The 13006-nt window shown below is 35.9% G+C and overlaps 1 protein-coding gene and 1 long non-coding RNA gene across 3 annotated transcripts in view; one reads left to right on the forward strand and one right to left on the reverse strand.

Annotated features, from left to right (window-relative positions):
* Nucleotides 1-13006, reverse strand: part of GBE1 (1,4-alpha-glucan branching enzyme 1) — a 271943-nt gene that overhangs the window by 57806 nt on the left and 201131 nt on the right. The window lies entirely within an intron of this gene.
* On the forward strand, nucleotides 460-1472 carry LOC124906198 (uncharacterized). Its single transcript, XR_007096260.1, has 3 exons — nucleotides 460-534; nucleotides 627-677; nucleotides 1387-1472. It is a non-coding gene; the product is annotated as an uncharacterized LOC124906198 (long non-coding RNA).

The following is a 13006-nucleotide window of genomic DNA, read 5'->3' on the forward strand; positions in this document are numbered from 1 at the left end:
GGCTTTGGTGCAGCCAGCCGGGTCACTGGGGCCACTCAGGGCAAGGGAACCCAGAAGCCCGGCATGCCAGCAAAAGGATAAGAATTTCTTACTAGTCAGGCTTCTAGGTTCGTTTGTTCTCTCTCTCTCTCTCTCTCTCTCTCTCTCTCTCTCTCTCTCTTTCTCCCTCTGGGCAAACTGGTTGAATGAATGGTAAAAATCACTGTTTATCTCCTCTGTAAAGGTTTGATTAATGGGAAAAAAGGATCTGTGAGGCTAATCTTAAGCTGTAGCAAATCTGGTGTGCTTTGTGTGCCTTTCTGTATTGTTTGGTCATAAAGAGGGGTATCTTAGGATAGAATGTTGGCCTAGGACACCATAAGCTTGCTGTTCAAAATGGCCCAGAAAACTGGTCGGTTACAAACTTCGCTGCAGGTCCCTGAAACAAAACTGGATGAAGTTCTCCTCTTCTCTTGTTCTATATCCTTGGGAGATGACCTTTTAACCACATGGCAGTACTTTCTCTTGGTCTCTGCTGTCACAATGGCTGCTCAGGTTCAGGGTTCAATTCCTGGCTTAGGAAATGAGTCCTTTCTGGTTTGATATCAGTGTGACATTTGCCATTTTTTAATTCTCTTCCCCTCTAGGAACCATCTTTGGAGTAATCTGCCTTGCAACCGGAATTTGGCTCAAAACAGGTTTTTCTTAGAGCACTAATCGACACTTTAACAAAAAATTGTAAAGGTTATAAAAATTGTAAGGGTTAAAAAAGGTTTATGAGTATCTCACCTTATGGTCAAACATTAAATTTGGGTAGACATGTCAATGAGTTTTATTAAGAATTGGTTTTAACATTAATAGTACACTAATGTAAAGGTGAAATTTGGCTTATTTGGTACAAAAATCATACAGGAAGCACTGTCACATGTGAAATAGTGTTTGGCTTTCTTTGGGCTATATTTGTTTAAATATGTTGTTGGTATGTGTTCCAAAATTACGTAAAACTCCTCTAATTCTAATAGGACTTAGTGTATGTTATTATAATTGTTACATAAAATCATATGCCAGAAAGGTAACCAAATTTCTTTGTCAATCGTGTTTTTAACTGTGGCTGCCCTAAAAGATTTTGTCATTCACAGAAAATTGTTATGTTGTTTTGATCCTCTTCAAAAGATTGTTTCATAATCAGTGACAGGACTTTGATAGTTGCTCTTAAATGCAGGTTTCTGATTACTTTGAATAACTTTGGAATAGAGAAAAAACATTAAGGACTCTCATGGAGAGCTGAAATGTTTATGACTATCAAGCAGAAGATGAGTTAACTGCATGGACTAAACTAATGTAAGATTAAAGAAACTTTTTTGACATTTTGCTTAAAAATTGCTGATCATTTGCTTTGTTTTTCAGAGTCAAGGTAACTTCTTTTAACCTACTTGCAGCTTTTGACAATTAAGTAAAGTATACTCCTGTGAACAAAATTTGAAACATATTTGTTTCTCTCTACCTAATTTCTCCAGAATTTGGAAACTATTTGTGAGTATTCTTTTTTTTTTTTTTTTTTCAGATGGAGTCTTGCTCTGTCACCTAGGCTAGAGTGCAGTGGTGTGATCTCACTTACTGCAACCTCCGCCTCCCTGGTTCAAGCAATTCTCCTGCCTCAGCCTCCTGAGTAGCTGGGATTACAGGTGTCCACCACCATGCCGAGCTAATTGTTGTATTTTTAGTAGAGATGGGGTTTCACCTTCTTGGCCAGGCTGGTCTCGAACTCCTGACCTTGTGATTCACCCTCCTCAGCCTCCCAAAGTGCTGGGATTACAGGAGTGAGCCACCACCCCCGGCTGGGTATTCTTAATTTATGGTAATACAGTTATTTGCATAAGTGCAATAAGAATCTGTTTCCTTTTGTAACAGGACACAATTGGTGAAACTGGTTATCAAGGCATTGACCAGAATGGTGTGCTTTCCTTTAAGGAATTGAGCTTGACTTTAAAGCCAATAAAAGCCTCTTGAGAAAACTGGCCTCATACCTTGTCTACACAGTCTCTGTACAGGGTTCTTGACCCACAGTGATAAGCAACGAATGTCACTTTCTGATAAGCCCAGGAGCCCCAAGCTATCTTGTGACTTCAAGAGTAGAGGAATTTATCCAACTCATAGATGTCTGAGGTTACAAACACAAGGCTGGGCTCAACTTAAAAAATAAAAGTCTTATCTGAGATTCCTTATGCAACAGAATTCCATCAAAGCCAACCAAAAAGTTTATATCAAAAATAATTATTCTTGCTGTACTTTATACAAATAAACAGGCCAAGTATAATAAAGCAAATCAGTCTTACCATAATTTGTCTCTAGTAAAAATGGGAAACTGGAGAGAGAAATTAAGTTTCAAGAACTATAGTACACTTGTTATTAATAGATTCTAGTCTCATCGGTTGTTTTTGAGTTTTTTCCTGCAATTTAGGCTGACCCTGCTTACTCCTATAAACCAACCAGTGATCTCTGGATGCTGCTCAAAAGAAATAAAAAGGATGAGTAATATAAAAATCTGGAGTCAATATTCTAACCCTGGGCACACTGGAACTGGCTAGCAACCCCATAACAGCTTGGTTCCAACAATTGCCCAGTTCATGGAAAGCCTTCTAATTCAGTTTACTTGAGATAATTTTACTTATTTTACTTTACTCTTTTGGAATACATCGCTGTTTTACTCCACATGTAGGAATGCAGGATAAGCTTACTCAATGTTCTCTGAAACTGGACAGTTATTAATCTTCCAGATATCACCTTTTTTTCAGCACTCAATAGTTACGAATGGCTATCACCATACCAATGCTTTCTGACTGAGCTCCTCTCTACCCTGAATGCAAGAGACCTAACAGTTAGGTAGGAATATCATTGCCCTTATTCAGCCTGAAGAAGTTACAGAAGATGGATCTTCATCCCTCTATAACCTTTAAGAGTTCTCTTATAAAATGGAGGGAGAATATATGTCAGAGGTGTTTGAATCAGAGCAACTCCATTTTGAATAGGGACTAGGTAAAATAAGACTGAGACCTACTGGGCTGCATTCCCAGATGACTAGGCATTCTAAGTCACAGAATGAGACAGAGGTTGGCACAAGACACAGGTCATGAAGACCTTGCTGATAAAACAGGATGCAGGAAAGAAGCCAGCTAAAACCCACCAAAACCAACATGGCAATGAGAGTGACCTCTGGTCATCCTCATTGCTATACGCCCACCATCACCATGACAGTCTACAAATGCCATGGCAACGTCAGGAAGTTACTCTATGTGGTCTTAAAAGAGGAGGTATGAATAATCCACCCCTTGTTTAGCAAATAATCAAGAAATAACCATAAAAATGAACAACCAGCAGCCCTTGGGGCTGCTCTGTCTATGGAGTAGCCATTCGTTCATTCCTCTACTTTCTTAATAAACTTGCTTTCACTTTACTCTATGGACTTTCTCTGAATTCTTTCTTGCCTAGATCCAAGAACCCTCTCTTGGGGTCTGTATAGGGACCCTTTTCTGGTAACAGATTCACTGTTTTAAAACAAAATGCTTTGGTCTCCACGTTCTCTCATGTCTTTCTCCTGCACACTCCTCCCTTAAAAGATACAAGCCAAAGAATATATTCTAAGCCCCATGTTAAAGTGGTCATATGTTTAACTATAACAGAAGAATACAACTTTAGAACTACTTAAGTGTATCTGTGCATCAGATAACATGCTTAATTGCTTAATATACATCAGCATCATCCCTGTTCTCATAGAACTCACAATTTAATAGGAGAGATTTTACACAACCATAAAAATATCCATTTCCTTAACATGATGGGGGGTGCTGGACAAGAGGGATCAAAAGAAGGCTTAAAGGATCTGTAAAAGTTAAAGAAAGTAGTAGGAGAGTATGAAAGGAAAACAAATCCTGGGGCCCCAGAATCACTAAGCTAAAGGGAAAAGACAAGCTGGGAACCGCTTCTATTCAAAGTCACCCCTCTGCTCACTGAGGTCAATGCATATCTGATTGCCTCCCTTGGAGAGGCTAAGCAGAAACTCAATGCAACCATTTTCCTCTCATCTACCTATGACCTGGAAGCCCCCTCCCCACTTCCAGTTGTCCCACCTGTCCTTCAAGTTGTCCTGCTGCTTTGGACTGAACCAATGTTCATCTTACTATGACTGATGTCTCATGTCTCCCTAAAATGTATAAAACAAAACTGCTCTGACCAAGCTGGACACATGTCATCAGGACCTCCTGAGGCTGTGTCCGGGCACACATCTTCAACCTTGGCAAAATAAACTTTCTAAATGAACTGAGACCTGTCTTAGATATTCAGGGTTCACAGTGATATGAGACAAATGCTCCTGTTCCATCTAATCATGCCATGGTGACAAATATCCATACCCCCAATTCTAGAAGAGCTGAAAGGGGCCAGGAATGTGGTGCTGAATGTTAGAACTAGGGAAGCATGCTGGGTCCATACCCTCACTCTACCCCTGCTCTCCCAGTCCTCCCCCTGATAAATTATGTGTAACATCTTGAAGTAATAGCTGAATGAGCTATGGGCACTTGGAAAACAATTTTCAACTTGAACTTTGGTTGATCTGGCCAAACCCATCAATCCTTTGTGTTATCTACATGATTACAATTGCTTGGGGTGGTTAAGTTCTCATCAATAAGGCAAAGACAGGATAGTGGGTGAAGTAAATTCTTAGGTCCAATGTTAAGAAGGTTGTCAAAATAGGCTGGGCGTGGTGGCTCACGCCTGTAATCCCTGCACTTTGGGAGGCCAAGGCGGGTAGATTACCTGAGGTCAGGAACTCAAGACCAGCCTGGCCAGCATGGCGAAATCCTGTCTCTACTAAAAATACAAAAATTAGCTGAGCGCGTGGCAGGCACCTGTAATTCCAGCTACTCAGGAGGCTGAGGCAGGAAAATTGCTTGAACCCGGAAGGTGGAGGTTGCAGTGAGCTGAGATTGTGCCACTGCACTCCAGCCTGGGAGACAGAGCAAGGCTCTATCTTATATAAAAAAAAAAAAAAAAAAAAAAAAAAGAAGGCTGTCAAAATAAACAAACAAAAAATAATCTTCATCAGCAATGTCCATAAGTGCAAAATCAGATTTCTATATTCCACATAAATGTGGTAGAATGAATATAAACACACTTATAAACAAGTTTTATTTGAAATGCTAAAGACTTATTAGCATTACTGTATTGAAGGGTAATTATACATCTCTTAATTCCTTTTTTTAAAATTGAGAAAATGGAAGATGATTTTAAATAAATGAAATGTAAAATAATCACAATATTAAAATAAAAGCAAAGTCATTTATTGAGAGCCTCCTATATACACAGGCTTTGTGCTACAATTATTAACAGTTACTTTAAAAAATAATCTTCACAAAAACCCTTCAATATGGGAGGGAACATTATTTCTGTTTTCAGATAATAGATCAGGAAAGTAATGTGACTTTCTAAGGTTATACAGGTATGAAGTATCAAGACTAGTATTCGAACTTAGATGTCTCTGCGTACTTTTCATTGTATCTGGCACTAAGTACATGATTTGAACAACATTAACTAGAAATCTATTATGAATGTACAGGCATTAGGGAAGGTAATGAAAGAGCTATAAAAAGAATGTACTTCCAATTCCACTATCAAATGTACGAATGAAGTGTATTTATTACTGACCTCTGCTTTCTTTGTACCTTGCATATGCTGCTACTATTGGTGTTATGATTCCACGTTGTAGCTGTTTAGCCTCTTCAGAGTTTTTTTTTTAAACTCCTGCAAAAAGGCTTGAGTGTTCTCCTGTGCTTCCACTTGCACTTGGATATATATTTTTTTCTTTACTAATGAAAGTATTTAAATAGCATTATGCTGTGTTTTGTATGTGTGTGGTTATATTGTTTTTGCCTCTTTCTATTAGACTGGGGACAGATATCCTGTATTTTCATCTATTATTTCTACTACAGCAAGCATTCAGTATACACTCAAAGATTTATTAAATAAATGTTGAAAGAAAAAAAATAAAGTCAATGATGTCTGCTTCCATTAGTAGACTATGTATTCCTCATGGAAAATGTCTTTTTTTTTTTTTTTGAATACCCAGTTGAAGTATAGAGACAGATAAAAAAGTGTCTAAAAATGTTTCTTTACAGATGCAAAATGGGTTTCTATGAGAGCCATAAGAAAAAAAAAAAAACAGACAGAAAGTACAATGGGGTAGAAAGGGGGTGGATAAAGAGGAACATATCTATACCATCAGGGAGAGAAATATTTAAATCAGAAGAGAACAGATAAAGCACTTCAGTTGTCTATTTATCAGAGGTTAGGTTTCCTTTTCTGAATGCCAGACTAATAGGAGATGCAATTTCAAATGTTCATGTTGCTATTCAAACTTTGACCTATATGCCATTTTTTGGCACATTTTTAAATTTAAAATAAATAATAAAAATATAAGACGAGGATAAGACAATGAACAAAGCAAATGAGACTAAATCGAGAATGAGTGTTATACTTTTGCACACAATGTTGTAAGAACCAGATATTATTTTCTTAATACAAATTTTCATAGCAACAGTAATGGGCTTTCACCAGTCATTTTGAGGCCATTTTGATGTTGCATGGAACAGGAGACTCAAAATACTCTATTGGGAGAAAATTAGCCACACAAAGGAAATGGTGGGGGGAAAAAAATGTTATTTTATAAAATTCAAACTGAATTCAGATTTTTTGCAAGTAAGTTAAAAATAACTCAGAAAATAATTTGCTAATGGAGAACCTTGTAAAAATGTATAAATGTTTTGCATGTGAATAAGGCACCAACTGAAAGATTCCACACCATTTTAAGCAGTAGAAAATAAGGCAGAAAAATGGGATATGAAAGCAAGGAATAAATTAGCCAACTATGAAATTGATTCTACACATGTGGCTTTGTGGCTATTGCAACTTTAGGTTTAGACTCAAAAGTTTAGTAGTGAAGACAGACTGTGCTACTTTGTTTGCCTATGATTAGGATATGCTACCGCTAAGTCAGAGTGAGTTCCTGTGGTCACAGCAAACACACATAGTGACAGAGGTTAACAAACTTCCCTAGTCAATTACTCTTTAAGAGCTAAGCACAGACATTTAAAAAGAAAGCACATAGCCACAGGGGAAAAAAATAAAAAAGATTAGTAAGAACATGTTTCCTTAAATACTCAGAATTTGATAACTGACATCAGTTTAATTGAATACTGGTATCATTCCAGGCTGGTGGAGTGTTTTTGTAAGAATCCAAGGCTTGTTCAAGGCACAGCCGGCTGCTACTTTTCTAGGTTTCCATCTCCCACAGCCTTTCTTCTGTATCAGAGCTCTAACTCCCCAAGTAGAGAGACGTAACTACCTGCTTATAACTTAATCAAAGAGCCTGTATTGGTTTGCCTTTGGATGATGCTTCTATTGCTCCAGGTTCCTGCCAACAGCTAGTTAGCCTTGTCTGCTTCCCTGCTATCAGCTCTTGCTTCCTCTCAGGCCACTGGTGCCAAAGAAAGGAGAAAAAAGTTCCATAGCAGCATGACAGCTGGTGGGAAACACTGTGAACTTCTTCCCACAATAAGAAGAAAAGGTTCTCAGTGTTTGTACTTGCTTGCTTCAGCTCTCTCGCTTTGCTCTGGGTAATGCTGATTTTGATTTTTGAAAAATGTGACTATAAAGTTATGAATTGGGCTATCAAATGGCTTTGAAGGCAATAAAAGGGAGAATTCAAACATATATAGGTTGAACATACATAAACAAACAATCTAGTATCTTTAAGATAATGGCGCTTAAACACAAATCTTTTGTCACAACCTACAAACTACCACCCTCCATATAGGTAAACCATAAACTCTTCCATATGGCTAACTCATTCTTTGTACATCTACAGGAGACAAAGTTCTAAATGACAGAAATAGTATAGCAAAGGAAAGAACACAGACGTGAAGCAATATAGTTAGTAACTTAATGGGTGCTGCATTTAATTTTTGTCATATCTAACAGTTTCATTACTTAAATTATGCCATCTGGAGGTGCTCATCTCTACTATTCACACCTGGCTGAGTAAAGTTTCTTTGCTATCTTTTGTACTTCATCTCCCAATATGCAGACCCTGCTTCAAAGAGCCAGATGACATGTAATAATCTGATCAGGACCCAGGTTTCCTGCTTCGAAGCCTTCTGTCCAGTTAGTTCTTTGACTTGCAAAGCCTGATTTTGCCTACAGAAATTCTGTCCATTCTTTATTAACCAAGTTAAATATCCCCTCCTCTGACTGAGAAGTATCTTTCCTTCAGTCAGAAAAGCATAATTTTTTTAGCTGGATAAACTGCTTTCTAGAGAATAGACATTTCCTAACGTCCCTTTATGGCTCCTTGTCTTCTTCAACGACACACAAACAGGGTTGTTATGTGAAAATTATTTCAAAGGAGCTAAGTCCAATATAAATAGTCTCTTTTTGCTCCTCTTCTTCCTTCTGGTTTAGAGCTTTGATCTGGACTATGTAGGAAGGACTTTTCAGTTGTGTGCCTTACTTTGTACAGTGAGATGTTCTGTACATGTAGATATACAGTAAAGTCTATTTAACGTAATTGTACCTAAACTTGTAAATTTCCAAGTAAATTTCCAAGCTTCCAGTAAGAAACCTGGGTAGTGCAGAAGGAGACTTAAAATAAAATATGCTATTATCACAGATCAAATATCTTACATATTTAATGTTTACTTAATGTCAAATAAACATAATATATTCAACTTTAAACAATATAAACAAAGCTATTCATAGATAAATGAAATTCCTCACCTAGAGAGTAAAAAAAAAATCCAAGAGAATTTAATTACCCTAAAAAGATTAAAATAAGAATCCAGAATTATGGCACAACAGTTATTGGAGTCCCTCATAAACTGGCACATGAATGTATAAAAAGGAAACTTTATTTCTTGAAACTTTACAAAGAATCATTAAATGTGTCAGGTATTTGGGGGTAACGAGAAACTTTTAATACTCCAAGTGACAGATGTCAAGACTCATGAATATCTAAATATTCATAACTCGGGAGACATTCTAGACTACTATCCAGGAATATATACATACTTACTTTAATGTTCTTCCTGAGACCCATTAAAGAAATACTTTTTAGGAATGGTGGGAGCACAGGGTATAAACATCAAGAAGGTAAACCCTGTGAAATGATGTATTTAATTACAAATTATATTGCAGTTTTACGCTTTCTAATAATTCTCTGAATATAAATTAGTCCAGTCTCCAGTTAAATAAAGAATTTCTCCTATAGAATTTTTTAAAAGGCACAATGATGTGTCATACAGTGGGTGAAGCATGGAATATGGATACAAAGGACATAAATTTTAGGACAACTTAAAATTTGTAATATGTCACTTACAATGTGTAACCTCCTGCTGTGTAACTTTTTGTTTATCGAACATTTATTAAATAAAAAGCATCAACATAAACTCTTAACATAATTAAATATTTTCTTACAAATGCCCAGTAAAATAGGTACCATTATAATCCCCTTTCTTAAACGATGAAGTTGAGGCACAGAAAAATTGAGTAACAAGTCAAAAATGATACAGCCAGGAAGCAAAGCAGCCAGGATCAGAATGTAGACAGACTGGCTCCAAAGCTGAACTTTTAACCATTAATTTTTGCTGTCCCAAAATAAAAATTATAAAAAAGATACCGACCTTGCACGTTGTTTGTAAAAAGTGACATTATGCATGCAAAAATGCTGCATAAACTGCAAAAGCCTAAACAAATGCAACAGACATATAAAATTATGTGGAAGTGTATATGGGGAAAAGGTCACGAAGAATAAGGATACTGTGACTTAGCTATGGCTGGATGTTAAAAATAAACAAATAAAAGGAACAACTAAAATGACTCCCAGATTTCAATGGTTAATTACCAGAATAATGAGGATAAAGAAGAAAGAAGGAAGAGGAAGAGGGAAGGAGGAAGGAAAAGAAGAAGAAAGAAAGGAGAAGGGAGAAGGACAAAAAGAAAGAAGAAGAAAGGGTATCAAGATTTATAGGGAGGATGACTTCAGTTTTGGATTTAGTGACTTAAAGGAGCCAGCAAGATAACCAGGTAGAGATCTCAGGCAGCTTCAAAATTTATGTTTGTAATTCAGAATAAAAGGTTGGATTTTGAGATAATGATATAGGAGTTATTTACATTAAAGAAATGGTCAAAGCATAAAAGTAGATGAGTTTTCTGAGAGAGGTAGGGAAGCAATAAAAGAGAACCAGTAGAACACCTGAGAAAGATGTATTAATACATTATAGAAGAAACTGAGGAGAAGGAGTCTGTGAAGCAGACAGGAGAATCATAACATAACAAAGAAGAAAGAGAAGGAGAACCTGAGGAGTCAAACTGAACCAAGAGGTCAAAGGAGTTCAGGTAGTGGGTGCAGAGGTCTGCAAGTCAATGATGATCTTGGAAACCAAAGTTCCTGAATTGTGAGACGGCATCAGGGAAAGTACAAGAGTTTGAGAGGTGGGTAGCGTATGAGGAAGCAGGATCAGCACACGTAACTATATAATGAAGTTTGGCAAATAAGAGAAAAAATGATAAAATAGTAATGAGCTTTACAGGTTGGTAACCTATTTCTCAATTTGTAAAGTATGTATTTTAAGTCAATGTGTGTGTGTGTGTTTATAGTTTCTCAGGTTCATTTCCTAGTTCTTTTATTATAATTACCAAAATAATTAAAACAAATGAGTATTAAAATCATGGTTAAAAAGAACCATGTTCAGTCCAATGCTTACTGCTGATATTGCATATTTTAGCCACCCTAAAAAAGACGACATTTACTGTTTTATTTAATTACAATTTAAAAACAAAAACAACTTAGGTATCAAATATATATCATCTATCTATCTATCTATCTATCTCATCAAGTTGCAAAGGAAATTCTGGTTGTTATAAAATATTTTTTGCTAAGGGTCAGAAAATAGCAAAATGTCTGCTAATTAGCAAAATTCAAAAATTCAGTTTTCTAACTGTAAGTCCTAATAATTATATCAGCTTCTTACAATTGAACTTTCCAAGACAAAACAAGATAGCAGTTATGAAAATATTTGTGACTCATGAGGAAACAAGTCTTGTGTGTACCCAAGGTACTGATTTTAGGAAACAAAACCATGCTTAAACATGCAGATTTCAATATATTAAATGTTAATGTGTATAATGATTATTTTCTTCACTAAAAAATAATTTTCATTATATCCATATAGTAATATTTCTATATTAGACCTTTTTATATTTAAACATGTGACCTTGAAGTCAACTGATTAAAATGAACAGATGTCCTTGTCTTTTACTCAAAAAATGATGGGTGTCTGTAGGAAAGAAATCAGAATTTAAAAGTATCAGCTCTTTATCTTAAGCTGTCTGGCCTTTGATGTTATATTTGCCCAGGCAATTCTTGCCCTCATTTAGTTGGGGGCAGCATATACTGGCAAGAGAAGGAGAAAAAGCAAGGAAGAATAAAGGAATTAAGTTGGAAGTAGGCTGGCAGTCATAGAAAATTTTTTTTCATTTTCAAAACAGTAAAACATATCTTAACTTTTAGCTACTCGAGAAGTATTTTCAAGAGAATAAGTATTCTCAATGCCAATGTAAGGAACAATATGGGGACAAAGTCTTTGTTTTATTTTACAAAGTAGAACATTTAGTAAAATGCGAATGCCTAGGCTAGGACTAAAATCTTACCCTTCTGCCCTAAAAGAAAAATTTACACATCAAACTAGAAAACTGAAACAATTATCATTAAGGTACTATTTTGAGGTAATCAGACTCTAGTGGGCAACCCTGGTGTAGAAGGCCCAGAAATGACAATATGAATAATGCAGTGTTGCTCAATTCTTTTTTCATTATGTATCCTCCCTACCTACTCCCTCACTTACCCTGCAGAAGCCTCTTCAGCCATTTTTTTTCCAAATTGTACCCACCCCATGAAGTTTTGATGCTCCAAATACTATTGCATATCTGTTTATATGCTGTGGCACTCTGGAGAGCCACACACTATTGTATCTAAGGTTTTATTTGTTCTACCAGAAAAATCAATTTTTGCCCCTATTGGGGTTGATATCACCCCGCCGAGAATGCACAGATGATATACACTTGAAGATAGCCACGTTGCTGGAATTGGTTTTATACACTCTGCTTTATGTGTAGAGGAGGTGCTCTGCCTGTATCAAGCAATCAAGTAATTGTTTGATTATACCTCTTCAAAGAGAATACAAAAGGAGTACACCATCAAACTCTCTTTAGAAGCTATCAGAAAAGTCTGCTCCAAAAATATTTGGAATGACTAATGAATAACAAAACAGTAGCTTTCCAATGTTGCAAGCAAAATAACATGTTCAACTTTTCATTTATTCTACTAGTATCTATTTGGCCTCATTTATAGTACAGTCCATACACAAAGGATTTTAAAATATCCTAATTAAAAGAAAGAAACAAAGAGACAGATCCTTATATGTTCACATAGCTTTCATGAGAGTCTTGCTTTAATAAATAAAATGTCCTCTAAAAAGTCAATAAATGGATTTCTCAGAATGCACCAGGCTTATGAATGTTTATTTGTTCAACACATAATAATTAAGTTCTCATCGTACCACAATTTTACAGTCTATAGGTGAGTATAAAATAAGCTGATCTAAAAAAAAATTTTTAAGTGCACAGCATTTCTACATTATAACAAAAAGGTAAATAAAATTTCAAATGTGGAGAAAGTCATAGCACTTTAAAATAACATTTTTAATCACATAGATCAGATAATGTTTCTTACTAAACTATAAAAATCATATTGGAATAATCTAAGATATCTAACTGTCTTCTTGTTTATAGAAAGTTGATAATACAGCTGCCTACTATGCTGGGAAGGAAAGACTATAAAAATGACTCAGTATAACAATTTCAAAATAAATTTATCAATTTGTTATCAATTATACCATGAAAATTTTATCTATGACCCACA

This window comes from Homo sapiens, chromosome 3 (assembly GCF_000001405.40).
Source record: "Homo sapiens chromosome 3, GRCh38.p14 Primary Assembly".
NCBI lineage: Eukaryota > Metazoa > Chordata > Mammalia > Primates > Hominidae > Homo > Homo sapiens.